The 22,208-nt window shown below is 38.4% G+C and overlaps 1 protein-coding gene across 2 annotated transcripts in view; it reads left to right on the top strand.

Moving 5' to 3' along the window:
* Positions 1 to 21,877, top strand: part of ANXA3 (annexin A3) — a 58,678-nt gene extending 36,801 nt beyond the window's left edge. The window contains exons 7-13 of one of the 2 annotated variants that reach the window (NM_005139.3): positions 2,974 to 3,053; positions 6,811 to 6,867; positions 7,224 to 7,317; positions 8,749 to 8,844; positions 12,940 to 12,998; positions 15,707 to 15,829; positions 21,486 to 21,877. In NM_005139.3, coding sequence (NP_005130.1) covers positions 2,974 to 3,053; positions 6,811 to 6,867; positions 7,224 to 7,317; positions 8,749 to 8,844; positions 12,940 to 12,998; positions 15,707 to 15,829; positions 21,486 to 21,545 — 569 coding nt within the window. In that variant the 3' untranslated portion in view covers positions 21,546 to 21,877. Of the gene's footprint in view, positions 1 to 2,973; positions 3,054 to 6,810; positions 6,868 to 7,223; positions 7,318 to 8,748; positions 8,845 to 10,770; positions 10,921 to 12,939; positions 12,999 to 15,706; positions 15,830 to 21,485 lie in introns of those variants that run through there. The other variant, XM_047450154.1, reaches the window with a different exon arrangement.
* Positions 21,878 to 22,208: the final 331 nt, after the last annotated feature.

Raw genomic sequence — 22,208 nt, forward strand, 5'->3', positions numbered from 1 at the left:
GGCTCAGAGCAGAGGCTTAAGGAGCAGGAGTTCAGATCTCTGAAAAGAGGGCTCCATCTGTAGGTACTGGAGCCAGTACCTACACGGGGGTCAAAGTGACTTTTTCTAGGAAGCTGGAGCCAGTTGCTGCTGTCGGGGTGAACAGCCTTCCCTGGGTTGACACTGACATGACTAGCCGTCAGATAGCTTGCACTTCTTTCCACCTCCTGCCTTCCAGTCCCCTCTACTCCCCAGTACTGGTGGAACCTAATAGGGAGCGGGTACAGACAGAAGTAGACAAGAGAATTGCTTAATCATTAATGCACAAAAGAGTATGTTTTAGGTGTTTAAAATATTTCAGTTCAACAAGGTTTACATATTTTACAAAACCCATCAGAACCAGGCACTGTTTCCCAAGTTGGCTTGGTATTTTCTGGTGTTTCTTAGAAGAGCCACTGCTCCCCAAGTGGACCTGCCCTGTGACAGATCCCTGGAGCCCAGCATTTAGGTACAAACAGTTCCAGGATGTGAGCTTTATGAGGATGAGGATTTTCGTCTATGTTGTTCACTGCTGTATCCTCAGTTCTAAGAACAGTGGGGCAGATAAGTGCAAATATTTATTAAATGAGTGTCCTCAAAATTGAGGTTAAGGTCTTAAGAGCCAAGTGAAACTTTTACCATTCAGGATAGTGTTGTGCAGATATGACAGATGATAATAGCACAAAGTTACCAGAGCCTCAATTTCTATGTGAGTAATGCTCTCTGAGGCTACAAAGGATACAACTGCATCAAGGTTACCTTGGTTACTAGAGATTAATGATACACAAGAAGATCAAGAAGGAAATTGTCTCAATCATGCATAGCCAAACTTTACAGAGATTAAAGTCACAGCACTACCCGAGGGACCCAGTTATGTTGTCACTCTCTCGGCAGCAGGCATCCATTGCTCCCCATGCTAATGTTTTCCGTGACAGTAACTGCTCCTCTTCCTTTTTGCTTCTAATGTTCTTGACACCAGCAAGTAACATCCCCTCCCCTACCACATGGTGTTTGTCTACCCAAGGCTTATAAATATTTGTGCATAGCTTTTGGTTATTCTTGGCTACTGTTTTCTTCATTATTTCCAGGAGTCTTTTGGTTCTTTGTTATTCTATTGTCTTTGTCTCCTTTTCTGTGTCACTCGCTCCCTAAGAGAGAAGATACAATGGGTTCAGGAAGTCACTATCATGTTGGCCCTCATAAAGGGACCAGATGTCTTCTACAGCTTATTCAGTACAGTGGCACAATAGAGTCTAAATAAAGAGAGATCTAAATTCTTAACTTTTTTCGGTATTCTAAAGTCAATGGTGTGTGAGAGAGAGAACACTGAAACAGGGATCAGGGACTCAAAGTTCTAGTCCAGGCACCTGTACTATTAAAATATTCTATTTGATTTTATACTCTACTGTGCCTCAAAATGGATAAAGTAGTTGTCAACTTAGGTTGAAATAATTTTTTACTCTAATATCCCACAAAATATTTGAAGGAAAGGGAGAGGCTGTGTGAAATGACTTATAAAGTCTCATCTAAATAATTCCAAAATTACAAAATACTTCCCCAAGTTCTAAGAAATGGGATATTCATTCTTCTACTTGATATTTTCAAATTTAAAGTTTTTTATCTAACTAGAATGAAGGATAGATGTAACAATATCACAACCATTAGGTTTAATGATGCCTACTAAATATTATTATTTAGAAAAATAACACACTTTTTTGGTGGATTTTGCTTATATGAATTGCTTTGAAAAGTTACAGATTTCATAAAAAAGAGACTTACTAAAATCATGCTGAAGAAGTTTCCATCTCAGCGCAGTTCTTGCTATTGGATAATCTCATATCACTTTCTATAATTGTCTTTCATTGATTTAAATAGATGAGAATTCTCATGGCTAGTATGGCTAATTTATAGAATTCTTGAGAATGGTGCAGACAGTTCAGATAGCCACATGGTGTCACCTACAACAAAGGGTATAGTGGCTCCAAGAGAATCACCACCCCATGGATGGGGCAGACAGAGATTTAAGACTGATGGGCACTGCACATCACAGGCCATGCAAAAGGGGCTACAACTAGTCAGTACTAAAATATATGAACACACAGTTGGCATTTGTAAAGGGAAATGGCATGTTTTGGGTAGCTTTCTTACTTTTGGGAGATACGAAAAAATATGGTTTAATTATATTCATTAAGATTAGGGTTAGATTCGATAAAACAGAAAAATTACAGTGGCTTACAAAAGGTAGAAGTTTATTTCTATCATATGTAGAAGTCTAGACATTGGCAATTCTAAGTCTAGTATGACAGCTACTCAAAGCTTTTAGGAACTCAGACTTCTTCTTGATTACTTTTATGCCATCACTAAGAAGTGGTCCTTATCTTCACAGTCCAAGATGGCTGCCCAAGATGCAGATATCAGTTCACATGTAAGGCAGTTGGATGGAGGAAGGACTAAGATGAACATGGCCTCATCCCTTTAAGGAGATTTGTCTGCCTTCATTTCATTGTGAATAACTAAGTTATAGAACTGTACTAGCTAAGAGGAAAGCTGAGAAAGTAGTTTTTAAGCTGTGTACATTATATCTTGCTTAAGGTTAGGGTTCTCTTAGTATGGAAGATGGCCAGAATGGAAATTGAAAGGCACACTAGTAGCTCATCCACCCCAGCTTTTCCACTATGCATCCCTTAGTGCCATTGTCAGATGAAATAAACCAAGATTTGCTCCAGAATGACAACTCTTTCTATTCTTTTGCATCTACCACAACACAGTGCAGTAAGAGTTACAAGAAGAATGTACCATCTCACAACAGAAAAGCATGAAGAAATTAAATAAAAGGGCAAGATTTATCTTATCACATACCCATTCTTTGCTAGTGTTGGCATTTAAACTTTTCTCTGTTTTATAATCATATTTTTCAGTTTGTCAAGGCTTAATTTCATTCTGATTTGGTTTCAGTATACAAGAAGAGTCTTGGAGATGACATTAGTTCCGAAACATCTGGTGACTTCCGGAAAGCTCTGTTGACTTTGGCAGATGTAAGGTTTTATTTTTTATTTTTTAACTCCCCAGTAAGCTGCATGCTCAATAACAATTTTTAGGGAGTTTAAAAATAACCAAACTGAGACAATGAGTTCACAATTTTCCTTATGAAATGGTTTGTTCATTTTACATTTTCATTGCCACCAAGCAATATAATGTTTAACCAAGATCATAAAAGCATACATAATGATGTAACAACAAAGAAAACTTATTTGAGTCAGTAAGTGGAGGTGTTTTGGTCAGGTTTCACAATTTTGACATTAGAAGACATTCTGATACATCATCTGACATACAATATTTATTTCCATTATAAGTGTCTCCATTTTAAAGAACAGGTTTATTTTCTTCTGGACTCTGAAGAATAAATATTTCTTTTGTTAGCTTCTAAATTAAATAGGAAGCATGATACAGAAGAATGATCTTTAGAGATGGGAATTAAATTGAGTATCAGTCTCAGGATTAAAAAAAAGAAAATGATTGCTGCAATTTCAGCCTTGCCACCTTGGAAAAGCTGCCAAACTATTAATCATCATGTGACCTAATGAGGCCACACCTTGCTTTCTCTTTTTAGAAGGCTTATGACTTTTATTATAAAGATGGTAAGGTCAAGGATGAGGTGTATTCACAGCTGTGTGTAAGAGAGAACGTGATTTAAACCATAGCTCACCAATTTTCTTTCAGCTGATTTACATAGCACCTAAATGTGAGAAAATCCCAACAACGGTCTCAGCCTCATGGTTGAAACAGCACCTGTCAAAGTGAGGCATTATGCCATTAGGAAGCGATTTATCTAAATTATGGTTTCAGTTACTTTAAATGTGAAAAACTTATGAAGGTTGAACCCACAACACCAAATTTATGAAGCATTGCTGCAAACATATGCTCTCAGAGGTATATATTCCTAAGTGCACATCTGTTTGTGTATGGACATGAATGCACCCACCCACAGGAGGCAGTATAGAGTAGGGCTCTAGGACAGGGTTCTAGAATCAAACAGGGCTGGAATCTCATGCTGCCAACTAGCTTTGTATATTTGGACAAGTTCTTTAAGTCTTAAAGCATTCATTTTCATATCTGTAAAACTAAAATACTAACAATAACAAGTACTCATAGGGTGTTATGAAGATTAAGAGAAAGAGAGAGTATGTGAAGTACTTAGTGATCAACACAGGGTGGTAGTGGTTAGTATTATATTAAGACCGATGATAATCAGCATTTATGTCATTGGAGCGAGCGTAAGTGAAAGAGAACAAGAAGAAAGCAAACAGCAGCAGGGTATCAGCAGCACAGAAAAGAAACCAGGCAAAAATCAGACAGTCATACAAGGACCTAATGTTTAAAAATAGGAACAAATTCATTTTAAACTATTGTAGCTAAATGTTTCATTCACCTATAATTTGCCAAATAATTCAGGCAATCCCGTGTTTTGGTTTTGTCTCCTGTCTTTCCATAATGTGCTTAAGTATTTGTACATGAACACACATACCACACACACACACACACACACACACACACACACACACACCACTTAAACCATAGAGCCTTTAATATCACAGTTGGGGATCTTTGAGGACTTTTTATTTTTTCTTTTTTGAGACAGAGTCTCACTCTGTCATCCAGACTGGAGTGCTGTGGTGCGATCTCGGCTCACTGCAACCTCTGCCTCCCAGGTTCAAGCAATTCTCCTGCCTCAGCCTCCCTAGCAGCTGGGATTACAGGCACACGCCACCACACCCGGCTAATTTTTGTATTTTAGTAGAGACAGGGTTTCATCATGTTGGCTAGGATGGTCTCAAACTCCTGACCTCAATCAATCCACCCGCCTCAGCCTCCCAAAGTGCTGGGATTACAGGCGTGAGCCACTGCGCCCCGCCTTTGAGTTTTTTTTTTTTTTAAATAAACTTTACTTTTTAGAGCAGCTTCAGATTTATGGAAAAATTGAGCAGAAAGTACAGAGAGCTCCCATATGACCCTATTCTACTCTCTCCTTTCCTTTCCATTATTATTATTATTATTATTATTATTTTGAGACAGGATCTGGCTCTGTTGCCCAGGCTTGAGAACTATGGTGTGATCTTAGCTCACTGTAGTCTCGACCTCCTGGGCCCAAGCAGACCTCCCACTTCAGCCTCCTGAGTAACTGGGACCACAGGTGTACACCACCACATTCAGCTAATTTTTTTTTTTTTTTTTTTTTTTTTTAGAGCGAGAGAAGGTCTCACTCTTGCATTAATTAGTATGTGTATTTATTATAATTGGTGAATGAATATTGATACATTATTATTAACTGAAGTTTATAGTTTACATTAGGGTTCACTCTTTCTGTGATATAGTTCTATGGATTTTAATAAATGTATAATGTCATATGTCTATCATTACAGTATGATAGAGTAGTTTCACTGTCCTAAAAATCCTCTGTGCTCTGCCAGTTCATACCTTCCTCCCCACCAACTACTGATCTTCTTACTGTCTCTATAGTTTTGCCATCTCTAGAATGTCCTATAGTTGGAATCATACAGTACGTAGCCATTTCAGGCAGGCTGGCTTCTTTCACTTAGCTATATGCCTTTAAGGTTCCTCTATGTCTTTTCATGGCTTGATAGCTCATTTCTTTTTAGTACTGAGTAGTATTCCATTGTATAGAATATTTATTTTACCTGCTGAAAGGCATCTTCTTTGCTTCCAAGTTTGGCAATTATAAATAAAACTTCTGTAAACATTCATGTGCAGATTTTTGTATGGACATGTTTTCAACTCCTTTAGTTAAATAGCGAGGGGTGCAATTGCTTGATTATATAGTAAGAGATATTTAGCTTTATTAAAAAACTGCAGAACTGTCTTCCAAAGTGACTGTACCATTTTGCTTTCATATCAGCAGTGAATGAGAGTTCCTGTTGCTCCACATTCTCACCAGTATTTGGTGTTGTCAGTGTTTTGGATTTAAGCCCTTCTAATAGGTTGTGTAGTGGCATCTTATTGTTTTAATTTGTAATTATCTAATGACATACAATGTTGAGAATCTTTTCATGTGCCATCTGTGCGTCTTCTTTGGTGAGATGTCTGTTGAGATCTTTCAACCATTTTTAAATTGGGTTGTTATTTTCATATTGAGTTTTAAGAGTTCTTTATGTATTTTGGATACAAGTTCTTTATCAGATACATGTTACAAATATGTTCTCCCAGTTTGTACCTTGTCTTTTCTTCCACATAAGACCTCTGTGTTGGGTTGGGCACAGTGGCCCACACTTGTATTCCCAGAGATTCAGGAGGCTGAGGTGGGAGGACAGCTTGAGGCCAGGAGTTTGAGACCAGCCTGGGCAACATAGCGAGATCCCATCTCTAAAAAAAATTTTTAAATTAGCTGTGTGTGGTGGTGTGCACCTGTAGTCATATTAGCTATTCAGGAGGCTGAAGCGGGAAGATGGCTTGAGCCTTGGAGTTCAAGGTTATAGTGAGCTATGACTGCAGGACTACACTCTGGCCTGGCCAACAGAGAGTGAGAACCTGTCTCTAAATATATATATATATGAATTTTCGGAGGAGGGAACTGAGGCCCCCAAAATTGTGTGATTTGCTAAAAATTTCATGACTAGTCAATGGCAGAACCAGAACTGGAGCCCTGAGTACATGATTTTTCTGTGCAACCTGTCCTGCCTTAAAGAAAAACCACTAAGATCCCCTGCTGGTTGAAGTACTATGTGTTAGAATCTTCTATCTTTAAAGGATGGCCCTTGTTTTCGTCCTCCTGTTTAGGGCAGAAGAGATGAAAGTCTGAAAGTGGATGAGCATCTGGCCAAACAAGATGCCCAGGTCAGTAACAAAGCGGGAAAACATTTCCTTTACCTATTCTCCTATGTGGCTGCCTTTGCATTTATGTGAAAAGGGAGAAAAATAGCAGCAACAGGGACTTTTCTTTTTTTTTTTTTCCTGTTTGAAAGAGAAGCCTGAAGCTTGGGGATCGGAACCCTAACTTTTTGCCTGCCCCAGTGGTAGTTATCATTCTCCTTGGCTCCTGACAGCCCAATTTTTGATTTCTAGTCTTCTGAAAGTGAGAGATTTAGATAATAGATGATGGCACTGACCTCTGAAATACAACTCCGATTCTTCTCATGTCACCTCTCAAAAAGAAAATAATTGTGTCTCTAATATCATTCTCTTGTGAATAGATTCTCTATAAAGCTGGTGAGAACAGATGGGGCACGGATGAAGACAAATTCACTGAGATCCTGTGTTTAAGGAGCTTTCCTCAATTAAAACTAAGTACAAACTCACATTACAATCCTTTGTGTTGTATGTTGTTTTTACAAATGTTTTTGCATTTAGTATACAAAGATCTAGAAAAACGAAGTTTAAAATTGCGAAGTCTGTTCCAGTTATTCACACTTCAGGAAACAAAATGGGAAAGCTGTATTGTAACTCAAGGAAGTACTGACACTACACTTTTGTTTTTCCATAGAGGCTGAGTAGATTACCTAGTGAGTACCAGGTAATAGATGGGGGAGGGAGGTGGCAGGGAGAAGAAAAGAGGCCACCCTCTAGGGTGAGAGTAGAAGGGCTTGTTCCTGTGGAATGGAGAAGCCCAACTGCTTCCACTCCACCTAACAGTTCTCCCTAGTTAGCCACTTCCAGAAAAGCCAGACACTGCAGGTGAGTCTCTGTTGACACATCAATACTGATTAACCTTTAGCTATTTCTGATATGAAGGTAAGTGGTAGAATGGATCAACTCTTATCGTCAGACCAGCTATTACATGGAATTGTGGGCACCCGCCCTCTTGCTCATGGCATCTCCTAGAACTGTTCTGGAAGCAACAACACCTAGAAAACTAAACCTTCATTTACTGTGAACATCTTCTGACTGTGGCTTCCAGATGCTAGTTTACAGAACAACCACACAGCAAGACCAAGCTTATGCTGAGTTGACGGAACAATGAGTAAACATAAGGATATTACTGTGACTTTGAAATTCTGAAATTGTTCTTTCTTAACTTTTGCATTAAAATCACATTTATTTTATAAAATAATGACAACAGTATGTGATAGTTGCTTTATTCATGTCTTTGTTTGAAAAACAAAAACCAGATAACCCTAGGTCTCTCTCCAAAATTTCTTTTTTTAAAAATGTATTGGGGAAAAATATACTTGGCTTACAAAATATGCCTGTATACTTGGTGACATATGTACAGGTTTTGCTTGGGGCAAATACTGATCAAGAAATTCAAATGCCTTCTGGGAGGTGTGAAGTAGGCCATGCCACCTTAGGAAATGATTCAGCACAAGGAAGTCTTCAGAATTAAGATTTCTTTACCAGAGAAAACATATTTGACTAGTGATTATAGTATCATTTCCCAGGTGCTGCTATAAATAAAATTTAAAATAGCCCAACTTACTGGATAAATTATTTATTATTTAACTATTTAGGCTATTTAAAATGCTTACTGCTTGAGAGAAGGGGAAAGAGAAAGAGAGATCATTGAAGAAAATCATCTAGGGAGTTTGGGTTTTGTTGTAGATGATTTCCTTAAAAAGGAACAAAAGAAAAACAAAAACTTCTGTGCCCAGATTTTCATGGTTTAAAGAGGGAGTTTTTTAGCTTGCTACTTGATCTTCTGCATATCAAATAAAAAACTAGAATATATTCAAATGTGCTCAACTGCGTTGCTTTAAATAATTTTGTGGTGCTTCTTTTTAGCATTTGATGAATACAGAAATATCAGCCAAAAGGACATTGTGGACAGCATAAAAGGAGAATTATCTGGGCATTTTGAAGACTTACTGTTGGCCATAGGTAAGACTTCGAGTGCTGGTAAACTAAGTTACTTTGCACTTGCTTTAACTCAGTGCCGAGGCCTGCTCCTTTTGGGCAAGAATCCTGACTGATCCATTTTTTTTGCTCCCTACAGCCCCCAACATGGTCCAGGATACACACAGTACGCTCAACAAATATTGTTAAATGAATGCTTGAAGAAGTTATTTTTTTAAGTCTTTTTTCTTTTTCTTTTTTGAAACAGGATCTCACTCTGTCACCCAGGCTGGAGTGCAGTGGTGTGATCTCAGCTCACTGCAGCCTCAACCTCCTGGGCTCAAGCAGTCCTCCCACCTCAGCCTCCCAAGTAGCTGAGACAACAAGCATGTATACCACCTGGCCCAGCTAATTTTGTATTTTTTGTAGAGATGGGGTTTCACCATGTTGCCCAGGCTGGTCGTGAACTCCTGAGCTCAAGCAATCCATCCACCTCAGCCTCCCAAAGTGTTGGGATTACAGGTGTGAGCTACCACATCCAGCCATCTTTTTAAATCTTACCTTGCTTTTTAAATTTGTATTTGTCTTGTGACCATGTTTAGCTTGTAGACTTCTTGAGAGCTGAAATATTTTATTTCTACTGGCATTTTTATTGAGCTTTGTTGAAAACTGAGACGTAGGCAAAGCACAGTGGCATGCACGTGTAGTCTTACCTACTTGGGAGGCTGAGGTGGAAGGATTGCTGGAGCCAAGGAGTTCAAGGCCAGTTTGGGCAACATAGCAAGATCTTGTCTCTTTAATTAAAAAAACCACACACACACACACACACACACACACATGCAACTAAGACCTAAGCCAGTTTGGTAATCCACCATATTTGGTTATTTATGAAAGATATCAGTGGCTTTTCTTTTCTTTCTTTCTTTTTTTTTTTTCTTTTGAGATGGAGTCTCACTCTGTCACCCAGACTAGAGTGCAGTGGCACAATCTCAGCTCATTGTTGACTCTGAATTGCTAAAAGATAAGCCGAGGAGGCTAAGAAAGGGAAAACTTTCTTCTTCAATTAAAAAAGTAGAATTGAGATCAGTCTTCATAATTAGTTCTCAGACTGTTCCAGTGGTAATGATACACCTGGTTAATTTTTTTTTCCATTTTACATTGTTAATCTTTTTTTCTTTTTTTTTCTTTGTGACGGAGTCTCGCTCGGTTGCCCAAGCTGGAGTGTGGTGGCGCAATCTCAGGTCACTGCAACCTCCGCCTTCCAGGTTCAAGCAATTCTTGTGCCTCAGCCTCCTAAGTAGCTGGGATTACAGGCACACGCCACCACGCCTGGCTAACGTTTGTATTTTTAGTAGAGACAGGGTTTCACCATGTTGGCCGGGGTGGTCTCAAATTCCTGACCTCAAGTGATCCGCCCACCTCTGCCTCCCAAAGTGCTGGGATTACAGGCTTGAGCCACCACCCCTGGCCTATATTGTTAATCTTTATATTAATTCTGCTTGCTGTTTTTCATTTGGTGTTCTTGCTAAGCCGTAATGTTTGAAAAACTTTGTTGAGATGTACAAACTCTCATTCACTGAGCTAAGGAGCATTCTTGGAAATATATCATTGAATAATGTATTACATTTGGGCTATAATGCACATTATTTTATCATGTAAAAAAAGACCTTATAATTCAATTGAAGTTCAAAATATGTTACACTTTCATTTTGTTTCAGTCTACCATTGGAATAAACCAGTTTATAAAATTTTTTATTGAGATATAACTTACATACCATAAAGTTCACCCACTCAAAGTGTGCAATTCAATGCTTTTTAATGTAGTCACAAGGTTTTGCAACCATCACCACAATCTAAGTTTAGGACGTTTTAATCAGCCGCATAAGAAACCCTGTAACTATTGACAGTCACTTTCCAATCCTCCCCACCCCCTGGCTCCTATAATCATTAATCTACTTTCTGTCTCTATAGATTTGCCTACTCTGCATATTTCATACACAAGGAATCCAATACAATGGTCAACACATAGTTTTTGACATGAAAAACGATCTGAGCTGTGTCATCTTAGAATCGTGTAATAGGAGCATACTACTTGCCAAATAAGAACAAATCCAGACTTAAGTAAGGAGAGGCTTTATTCAGTAGAACTATTTCAATAGAGAGAACATGTTGATTTCAGAAACCTGAAAGACTGGGCTGGGTGTGGTGGCTCATGCACATAATCCCATCACTTTGAGAGGCTGAGGCAGGAGGATCCCTTTAGGCCAGGAGTTCAAGACCAGCCTGGGCAACATAGTGAGAGCAGCATTCTGAGACTGTTCCAATGGCAATGATAGAACTGGTTAATTTTTTTTCCATTTTATATTGTTAATCTATATATTAAAGATTCTACAAAAAAATAAAAAATTAGCTGGGTAGGTTGGTGGACGCCTGTAGTCCCAGCTACTCAAGGGGCTAAGGTGGGAGGAGTGCTTGAACCCAGGAGGTCGAGGCTCCAGTGAGCTATGTTGGTGCCACTACACCAGAGCCTGAGTGACAAAAGTGAGATCCCATCTCTAAAAGATGGGGAAAAATGTGCAAAAGTTTCAAAATCCAACAGAAAAGTCTTAGCAGCAACTTTTAATGTTGGGCAAGCACAAGGGCATGATCACTGGGGATTGACAGGAAACACGTCTGGCAGTGGACAGCTGGACTCTCAAGATAAGCTGCAACAGAGGCATGTTCTGCATTTTAGGGCTTGCCCAGGACTGGGGACAAGCCAGAGTTCAGGAACCTGTGGGAGGAGAGAGGCCTGATGGAAGTGTGGTCAAGACAATGAAGAGGGTAGGGAATGGGCAATTATGAATTCTTGGTCATGGTAATTAACTCTAACGGACTCCCAAGCTTCCCTGCCTATGGTGCTGGGTGATAAAGCCTCCTTCCCACTGAAACATACTGCCACCTTCCAAAACTTTCAGATATGAAGAACAAATCTAGTAGGTAAGAATATAAAGCAGAAGGCAAGCTAAAGGGAAGAAAGGATCATGAAAAGAAGGGATTGTACAAATCTAGTTGGCAGGGAGGTGACTGGAAAGCTTAATAGGATGAAAGTGGGCATCATTATTTTTTATCAAGCTATTATGGCTTACTTAATGTGAGTTTTACTAGTTTAAATGGTTAGTTTCTTGTCAGAGAACTTCATGTAACAGTTTGATTCTAAATGCTGTGTTTGGGTTTCTAATACATTTCTCCTTCTATTTCCCTTAAATCACTCAAAAAGCCAAAAGTCTTTTAGCTTTCCTTAAGACAGTCTATAAGCCACGATGAGAAAGTCACTTATTCTTGTTCTGAGCTCCAAAATTCATTATAAAATCCATTCACTTTTGGTTGGATTCCTACCTAGAGATCAGATTTAAGATTATAAAAATAATTGTGTTGCTGTAAATAGGTTTCTTCCCTACAGACTTTTCTATTCCTATTTTCTTTTTATTTAAAAGATAATTTACTCTTGCGTTTTTGTCAGTTTCCTTTTTCTTGTTTTATTTCTGCTTTACTTGTTATTTCAAAATAAAGAATTGAAGGATTGTATTTTTTTTTTAAGGCAACTGAATTTAGATGACAGATACTTGTTCTAATGGAGTCACTCTAACCAGCCTATAAATTCTAATCCAGTCATTTAAAAGAAAATTCTTTCCATGGGAAAAATTGCTTTTAAATGGAACTCCAGTGCCCCTGCGTGCCTAATGAGTTATTTGGAGCAACATCGCTGCAGTTGTCAGGCCCAGGTTGTTCATCAGTAGCCCGAGATGCTAGTAGCTGAGCAGTGTCGCACCCTAGGGAGTTATCAGGGAAAGCGTAGGTGTTCGGGGTGTCTGGGATCCAGAGATGAGTCAGTCGCTGTGGGAGTTTCTTTGGCAGGTAATTTTATTTTCCCCATGGCTGGAGATAATTACTGTGCTAAAGTTCTGTGCAAATATGGTATTAAAAGGCTATGAAAATCAGGGTAAGCAGCCTTTCTTTCATTCCAAGTAAAAGCCAGTTGTGGGGAGGGGATAGAGTGGTATGACAGTCCAAAGAATCTTTTTAAAAAACATATTACTTACTATAGATTAACCCAATTTCTATTCCGTGAAGCTGAACATTATTTGCTTTTTGTTACAGTTAATTGTGTGAGGAACACGCCGGCCTTTTTAGCCGAAAGACTGCATCGAGCCTTGAAGGTTGGTCTGGAAAGTTCATGTGCATTCTTAGCGTCCCTTAATTCCCTTGGGAAAGTATGCAAATAGTAGAACAAATATTTAAAAATTAGTTATTTTAATGTAATTTAAACATTTTAAGATAAATTATATTACAGCAAATCAAGGTATGATACAATACACTCTTTACACAGACACCTGATTTTCTCTTCAAAATAAACAGACCTGGGTTTATGAAATAATTTTTTTCTAAGTAGGTATAATTTGATTTCTATTTAACTAAAACATTCTCATTTTCTCTAATATGATGAGTTTAAGTAGATGCTAATATTCCACTTGTATGAAAGATGAAAATTCATGTATAATATTAAATTTTAAAAGTTCATCCTCTATTTTAAATAGAAAATGAGAAGGCAGGCCAGGCGCGGTGGCTCACGCCTGTAATCCCAGCATTTTAGGAGGCCCAGGCGGGTGGATCACAAGGTCAGGAGTTCAAGACCAGCCTGGCCAGACGGTGAAACCCTGTCTCTACTAAAAATACAAAAATTAGCCGGGCGTGGTAGCAGATGCACTGTAATCCCAGCTACTCGCGAGGCTGAGGCAGAGAATTGCTTGAACCCAGGAGGCAGAGGTTGCAGTGAGCCTAGATTGCGCCACTGCACTCCAGTCTGGGCGACAGAGTGAGACTCTGTCTCAAAAAAAAAAAAAAAAAAAGAAAATGAGAAGGTAAAAATATGGCTTAATGTTGATAGAATGTCATATTTCTTTTCCACTTAGATTAGTTTTCTACAGTAGCTAATTTGTCTACTGATTTGCCTCATAGGTTAATAGTATTCTAACCCATATAGAGATAGGTACAGAGAAGTATTGACCACATTATTTTCACTGCTTCACAGTAAGTGCAGGCAGTAAAACTTGTTTTAGAATGCCAAACCTCAAGCTTGAGACCCAGTAGATCCTGTGGCCTCTCAAACTGCCTTGCTTAAAATAAACCAAGCTGAGTTGGCAGCCTTTAATGATGCCGTAACCCTGTGTTTGCTTGTCTGTCTTTACTGCCAGATGGTGCGCTCCATGAGTACAGACTCCTGTTTATCCTCAGACCCTAGGGCCTTGTGCACAGAAGATGCTTACCTCCATCTCTTTACCAGCCATTTTCTGTGGTCCCACACGTACCTTCAAAGTCATATCCTAAGTGAACACATCCTTTCCTTCATCTCGCCCAGCCCCACATCTGCTCCCCTTCCCCTGTTCAGTCATCCCAGAGAATGGCCCCAACAGGAATTTGCCCAACTCTCTGAAGTCGTACCATTCCTCCCCAGACTTCTTGACTATGCCTCAGCCACCCCAGGCTTCTTTCCATTCCTCAACTGTGGCAAGTCTATTCTCACATCACAGTCTTTGCATCCATTCCTTCTCTGGAATGCTCATCCTCTAGATCTTTACCTAGCTGACTCCTTCTCATCTTTCAGGTTTCAGCTCTCCTCCTGAGAGAGGTCTCCCCTAACTGTACCAGGCCAATTGGTTCCCTTTCAGTCACTCTCCATGCCATTTCCAGCTTTCTTTTCTTCATATTTCTGATCACTATTTACTTAAGCAATAGTTAATTTGCTTTGCTGTCTGTCTCCATCTACTAGAACATAAGCTCCATGCAGACAGAGATATAATCTGTTCTGTTCACCGCCATTGGCACAGCACATGGAATAATGCCTGGCTATAGTCGACGCTCATAAGCATTTGCTGGATGAATTACATAGATGAATGGAATATCATTTAGTATGTTGGCCATCATTAGGTCAAAATCCACCTAACTGCTCAGCTAGAAATTTTACACTATCTCTCTTTTTCATTATCCTGTAGCGATACATCATTATGTTTTGTCAATCCATTTACATAAGCAACTCTCAAATCTTCCCATTTTCTCCATCCCTACTGCCTTTATTCTAAGGATGGCCATCATCATCTCTTAATTACTCAGTCTCCTCAAGATGAGTCTCAAAGCCTCTAGTCTTAACTCCCTTATCTTCCTTCTACTCCTACCTTGCAATCTGTTTCTCATGCTGCAGTCAAAGTGATTTTCTGAAACCACGAATTTGATCTGATCTCAACATTCTCATGTTTAAAATATTACAAGAGCTCTCCACACTTAGGATAAAGTCAGAATTTCATTTCATGGTTAACAAGGTCTGGCCTTTCCAGACACATTTCTTTTTATCCCTCTTTGTTAACTTACGTATCCTTGAACGTGGCGTTCTTTATTGCCCTAAACCTTCACGCCTGCTATTTCCTCTATAGGAAGTTTCTCTCCTCCCTACATGAACCTACTCCTTCCTCTTGTTGACTGTTTAGTCCTTGCTTAAATGTCACTTTCTCAGACTTTTCCTAATCCCTAATCTTTCTTAGGCCCCCCTGAAGTATGCTCCCATGGTACCCAATATTTTCAACATGTCAGACTGTTTTGCAATGGCTTACTTTCTTGCCTGTATTCTTTACAAAACTGGAAGCTTAACATGGGTATCTCATCTCTGCTTTGCAGCATTTAGCATGATGCTGTCACAGAGTAGGTGCTCAACAAATATTTCTTGAATAATGAATGATGAGTTTGATAATAAATGAAAAAGAATCACTATAGTTGAATATTTTGCACACCATTATCTGATTCTTATAAATATAGATCTCTATGTTGCTTTGTGACCAATGACATTTGTGTTGTGAACACCTGCATTCCTTAACAGGGTATTGGAACTGATGAGTTTACTCTGAACCGAATAATGGTGTCCAGATCAGAAATTGACCTTTTGGACATTCGAACAGAGTTCAAGAAGCATTATGGCTATTCCCTATATTCAGCAATTAAAGTAAGTCTACTTTTAAAAATAGCAAAACATATTTTGCCCTTCTCTACCCATCTCCTTACTCTTATATGCCTTAAAATATAAAGATATTTGACTTAGATTTCTCTCTCCTTGTCAATGTATAAATGTGTTGTCTGAGCTTAAAATAGTAGCAGCAAAATATCCCTTATTTTCAGCTCTAAAATCCCAGGCATATAATAGACACTCAATATTTTTTTAGGTGTACTAGCCACTAATTTTTCTTCTTTTGTGAATTACATATGCAAGTTGTTTACCTGTTTTTTATATTGCACTGTTTTTATTTATTTCAGTCTTTATGACAATGTAAGAAAAGAAAAATACGTATTTTAAATTTCCTCTCTGTTTTACATGAGACAGCATGGTTCTGCAGCTTAGAGTGCTTTTCATTTCAGTATATAGGAAACTTTCTCATTTTATTTAACAGCTGTATATCATTCCATTGTTTGTATATTTGTACCCACCACAACAAACAGAGGCTTCCAGTTTATTGCTATTGCAAACAATGTTGTATAATGCATACACAACTTCATCAGGTACGAGTGTATCTTTGGGATGAATTCTCAGAAGTAGGATTTCTGAGACAGATATAAATGCATTTTAAATTTTGACAAATATTACTAATTGAATTCCATTTTGCAATTCCATGAGGAATGTATGAGAACTTCTTTCTCCATAGCTTTGGCACAGAGGGTATTTTCAAACTTTTAGGTTTTTAAAACATTTTTTAGAGATGGGGTCTTGCTGTGTTGCCCAGGCTGAAGTGCTGTGGCTGTTCACAGGTGCGATCATAATACATTGTAGCCTAGAACTCCTGGGCTCGAGCAGTCCTCTTGCCTTAGCCTCCAAGTAGCTGGGACTATAGGTAAACTTTTGGGTTTTCATAATCTGATAGGTGAGGAATTGTATCTCAGTGTAGTTGTAATATACATTTTTCTTAGTATAAGTAAGGCTGAATATATTTTCATGTTTGAAATAACATTTGTATTTCTCTTTCTGTGATCTGTCTTTTTACATTCTTTGTCCACATTCTTTTGGGTTTTTGTTCTTTTTGGTCAGTTTCTAAGACGTTTTTCACATAAGGTAGATTAGCCTTTTGTCTGGTCATATTTTCCCAGTCCGTTCTTTGTCCTTTGACTTGGCCAAAAGTATTTTTTTCCAAGCAGAGGTTGCACATCTTATTTAATTAAATTTATCAATCTTTCACAGTATTTTAGTTTTTAAAAAATCTGGTCCCTTCTGTTTCTTTCATTCTGGATGAGAATCTTCCTAAAATGGGCTCCTTCCTTTCTCTTTTAAAGCATGAAACCCATTTTCATTGTTTTCAGATCTCAGTTGATATATTATACATAGAAACTTCAAATAAATTACAAATTATTTGAATTAATAGGGCAGTAAGCCTGACAAAAATTGTACAAGAGGCTTCTGTACCTTAAGCTCGTGGTTCAAAAGTCATAGTCCCAACAGGAAGATGGCAACTAGTTAGTGGAGAACTAAGGGGCTAGCCCCACACCTGCTCAGTAGCCTTCCATTGATTTACTTTTCTACCTTGATGCTCCAGACCACATATGAAAGTCTCTAGTAAATGAGTGATAGAGAGTGTTAGTCCAAGCTGGTTCCCTGGAACAAAGTGGAAGCTGGGGTTGGTGAGTGGAGCAATCCACTGTCCTTGCCTCCAAGGCCACACTGACCAGGGGAAAAGACAGAGTCAGGGCTGCCTTCGCAGAGGACTTGCAGGCTATGCAGACCTCTCCGTCTCTTTGCTACTCCATCTACCCTTGAATGTCTCGAGGAAATCAGCACTAGAGAGTATTGGACCCAGGTGAACTCTCCAAGGTCTAAGCTGAGACTTGGGGCCTAGAAGGTGATCCAGGATGAAGAGGGAAGCAGCAGCCAAGCAGAGTGTTTGCTCTGAGTGCTGAGGGTCTAAAACTGGGAATGGAGTCCATGCTGATTAGACCCCCTAAGCTGTGGATCATTATGCACCATGCACATCCTGATCCTGGGTAGCAGCACCCTCTCTCAAGCCCCTACAAGGCTGGAGCACTACCTCTGTGGGGGAGCTTACACTCAGCGATGTCCCCTGGGGACACCTGGCTTAGACCACATTCCAGTGTCCCTGCCAGCAGCTGGAGTCTTTGGTCCAACCTTCGCTATGGCCCTACCCACAATAGCCACCCTTGAACAGGCACAAATATTAGCCTGGGTCTTTCTGCAGCTATCTTGGGAAGGTTTCTGCCTCTGACTTTACAAATGGCCTTTGAATGAATGAATGAATGAATGAACATCAATCAGTCAACTAGATTCATTCACTAAAATCTCTCTCTCTCTCTTTTTAATCAGAGTTTTTGTTTTTGCACTAAACTTTTACAGAAAGAGATGCTGAGATGCATGCATAAGTTGAAATCAGGAACTTACTCAAAAAGGCAATTCTCAGACTGTGCCTGGGACTTAGCACAAATTGCATCAACTGCTCACACTCAATTCTATTTGAATCAGTCCTGACACATCACAATAGTTTCAATCATCAGAGGAAGATTCAATAACATTAACCATGTTGTAGCTACTAAGGCAGAAAAATAGACTCACACATTTTCTAAAGATTGTCAGTAACAAGGTTGAGACATAAAGAGGGCTTTCAGTTCACCCTCAGCAAACCAGAAAATTAAATTAACCAGTGGCTCTCCGTTCCCCAGTGGTCTGGGTAATTGAGGCTTATTGTATTAGAAAACATTTAAACTATTTGTAGTTTGATAGAAAAGAAAAATCCATCACTGAAAACTTCAGTTTGCAGTTTGAAATAGTACAAGATTTCTTTATTTCTACCACCTAACACATATTATTAAGTAATCTCATTACATTTTTGCTATTGAAGAACAGGATCTTTTTAGATGGTTGTTTCTGAAATTCATGGGATAGAGTTCCATTTTGCATATCATCTCAGCCTGTCATCCTGCCTGTTTTCTTCCTTCCACCTATTGTTTAGACATTTCTTTGTCCATTGACACCTTTCTCAGGGGGTAACCGGTGGGAAGGAGAAGGCAAGGAAGAACAGAGGTGAAAAACCAATGTGTACCTCTTACTACTTTATAAGAAGATATTATGGAAAATTTAGATGAAATTATATTTTTTGGTAGTTTTCCTTCATAGACAAATTCTGTATTTATTTAATAAATAGCACAATTCCAAGCTTTTTATGGGAAAATATAGTAGCCACTCACAATCAACTCATAATCTATGTGGAGACTTGAGGTAGGTATGAAGAAACAATTAGAAGATAATAATTGAAACAACAGACAATTAAATACTAGATTGTTGAATATAGAGCTAGTACTATCGGAATTGAGAAGAAAAGAAGTTTGGGGTTAGAGAAATGGGTCTTGAGCCTGCCTTTCAGGTCAACAAGCATGTGTTGAGTGTCTCCTGTGGGCCAGGTGCTCTGCTGGAGCATTTACCTTTAAGACCCCAGATCAATAGGGTCTTAAAAGTAAATGCTCTAGAGACAGATATGGGAAGAAGCAAGAGGGAAAGAAGTAATAAGGCATTTGTTTGATTAGAGGGTCTACCTTGGGGAATATTGAGAAATAAAATCCAAGTAGCAAGATGAGTTCAGTTGAAAGAGAGCTTTGAGATCAGCGAATTCACTCATTCAATTAAAAATATTATCAAATGCATATTATGTGCTAGGCTCAGGGTTACAATTATAAGCAAAGGGGGTAGGGTGGGGGAAGACATTTTCTGCCCTTATGGAATTACAACTATGTTAAATGTAAAGGAAAGTGACATTGTGCTAAAAGATCCTACAATAGTAGGACTTGACTTAGAGGAAAGGCTTCTATGAGAAAGTCATGATTCAGATCTGGAAAATAAGTAGATATTAATAAGGCAAAATGTATGGAGGTAAGGGAGCCAGTAGAACATTCTAATAAAAGAAATGACAAATGGAAAGGCCTCATGGTGGAGGAAGCATAATGAAAAATGAGGATGTGGGGGCCAGATCATGCAGGACCTTTTTGGCAATGTTTAAGGAATTTTGGCTTTAGCTTAAGAGTAAGGGGAAGCCATTGAAGAGTTCTGGGCATGAGCTCTTGAAGAGTTAGTATCAGGATCATGAAAAGATCCCTGTAAGATCTTCTTATTCTGGAGAATAAGAAGGGCTCAAAAGATATTTAGGAGTTGAAACTTAAGGGACTTGGTATAATATCTTGGTGTGAGGAAAGGAAGATAGCAAGGATGACACTCAAGTTCCTAACTTGGAAAACAGACAGTGGCGCCATTCCTTGCAAGAGGATCAGGTTTTAGGTTGTTTGTTTGTTTGTTTGTTTCCTTTTCTTTTGGGGGAGTGGGGGGAGGTTTATGAGTTTGGTTTTACATGTATTGAGTTTGAGATGTCTTTGAGCCATGTAAGACATGTGGAGAGGTCAAGTAAGTCATTAGCGGTGTAAATATACTTTGAGTTACTTGGATGTATTTTCTTGACTAACTGGTAGAACGCCTAATTGTTTACAACTCTGATCAGAGATGTCTAGAAGGAGCTCTTTTAATACAAAGCTGGAGCATTGTTGACTTGTCAGCTCTGCTATTGCAGAGCAAGACAGGAAAACCAATAGCATAAGAACTAAAATCTATATAAAAACGAAGAATATTGTCATATATTTTGTGAAACAGACAAATGAACAAGAAATAAAGAAAACAGAAAAATATATATAAAGGCCTATTGTGTCTTACTATGAAAGTAATGCTTAACTTCTTCACTAAATGAGCCTTCTCTGAGACTTCCTTTATATTACCACTTTCTCTAATATTCACCCCAGTAACAGCCATTCCAAATGTGAAACTTAAGTGATAAGAAGAGCTCACTGGTTGGGTTACCTCAAATAAAATAAAAATAATGTGAGCATCTTACACAATCCAGGTTGAAAGCCAAGTTTTACCTCCTGTGAAGTCTTTTGCGTTACAAACTTGGTATCTTTGCCCTTTAAGCCTCAACCTCACGTAGTATCTTTTCTGGACAACAGTCTATTTTTGGTTGGCCTTGGGAAAAGGAACTGATAAACATATTCTTTAAAAATGTGGTTCATTTCACTTTCCTAAGTTAGGCAGTGTAGCAGGGTATTAAGGAGCCAGGATATAGGGATTCAAATCCTGCTTTTGTCACTTATTCTCGATAAGATTTGAGGCAAGTTTCCTAACCTGTCTTTCTCATTTTACTTATCTGTTAAATGGGGGATACGTATAGTACCTATTGCAGAGAGCTTTTAAAAGGGTTAAAGTAGTTAATACACATTAAGCCTTTTGAATAGCAAGTGTTCGATAAATATTATTAAAACTAAAATTTGAAGTTTTTATAGAAATCAATATTATGTAAGTGATGCAATCTTATTTTATTAAACCAAAATTGAAATTTAACTGCAGTATATCAGGAAGAATCTAAATATTACTTACAGTGAAGAAGATGCTGGTCAGAACGTAATTACACTCAGGTATGAATGAATGATGGAATTGCAGGTATGTTTTACTAAATGGTATAGCTCATGAGTCTCACACCCAGGTGAATTCCCTAGTGCTATAGGATTTGATTCATTTATGGTCTCCCATTATTTATACTGTATTTGTTCTTCATTGATTTTATTCTTTGCAGTCGGATACTTCTGGAGACTATGAAATCACACTCTTAAAAATCTGTGGTGGAGATGACTGAACCAAGAAGATAATCTCCAAAGGTCCACGATGGGCTTTCCCAACAGCTCCACCTTACTTCTTCTCATACTATTTAAGAGAACAAGCAAATATAAACAGCAACTTGTGTTCCTAACAGGAATTTTCATTGTTCTATAACAACAACAACAAAAGCGATTATTATTTTAGAGCATCTCATTTATAATGTAGCAGCTCATAAATGAAATTGAAAATGGTATTAAAGATCTGCAACTACTATCCAACTTATATTTCTGCTTTCAAAGTTAAGAATCTTTATAGTTCTACTCCATTAAATATAAAGCAAGATAATAAAAATTGTTGCTTTTGTTAAAAGTAATTTCTTTGTTTGCTTTCAGAGCTTGCCAACATTGTTTGATGCCTGGTGCCAACAACTAATATTTTAAAACATGTTTCTGTATAGAAGCTGTTACTGCTTCAGTTTATCACCTTGTTAATCACACTTTTTTGAAAGAAAGGAATAAGATGAAGATGTATGTGACCCTGGCCTACCCTTTGTAGTTGTGATCAAGCTATAGGAGTGGTAATGCATGATAAGTTATTTCAGCTTTCAGAAAACATCTGCTGAAGGATTAATCTAACCACTTCCTGTCTGAATGGCAAGCATGAATTATGGTTGCTTCATGCTAAATACTACTTTCCCAGA

This window comes from Homo sapiens, chromosome 4, assembly GCF_000001405.40.
Source record: "Homo sapiens chromosome 4, GRCh38.p14 Primary Assembly".
NCBI lineage: Eukaryota > Metazoa > Chordata > Mammalia > Primates > Hominidae > Homo > Homo sapiens.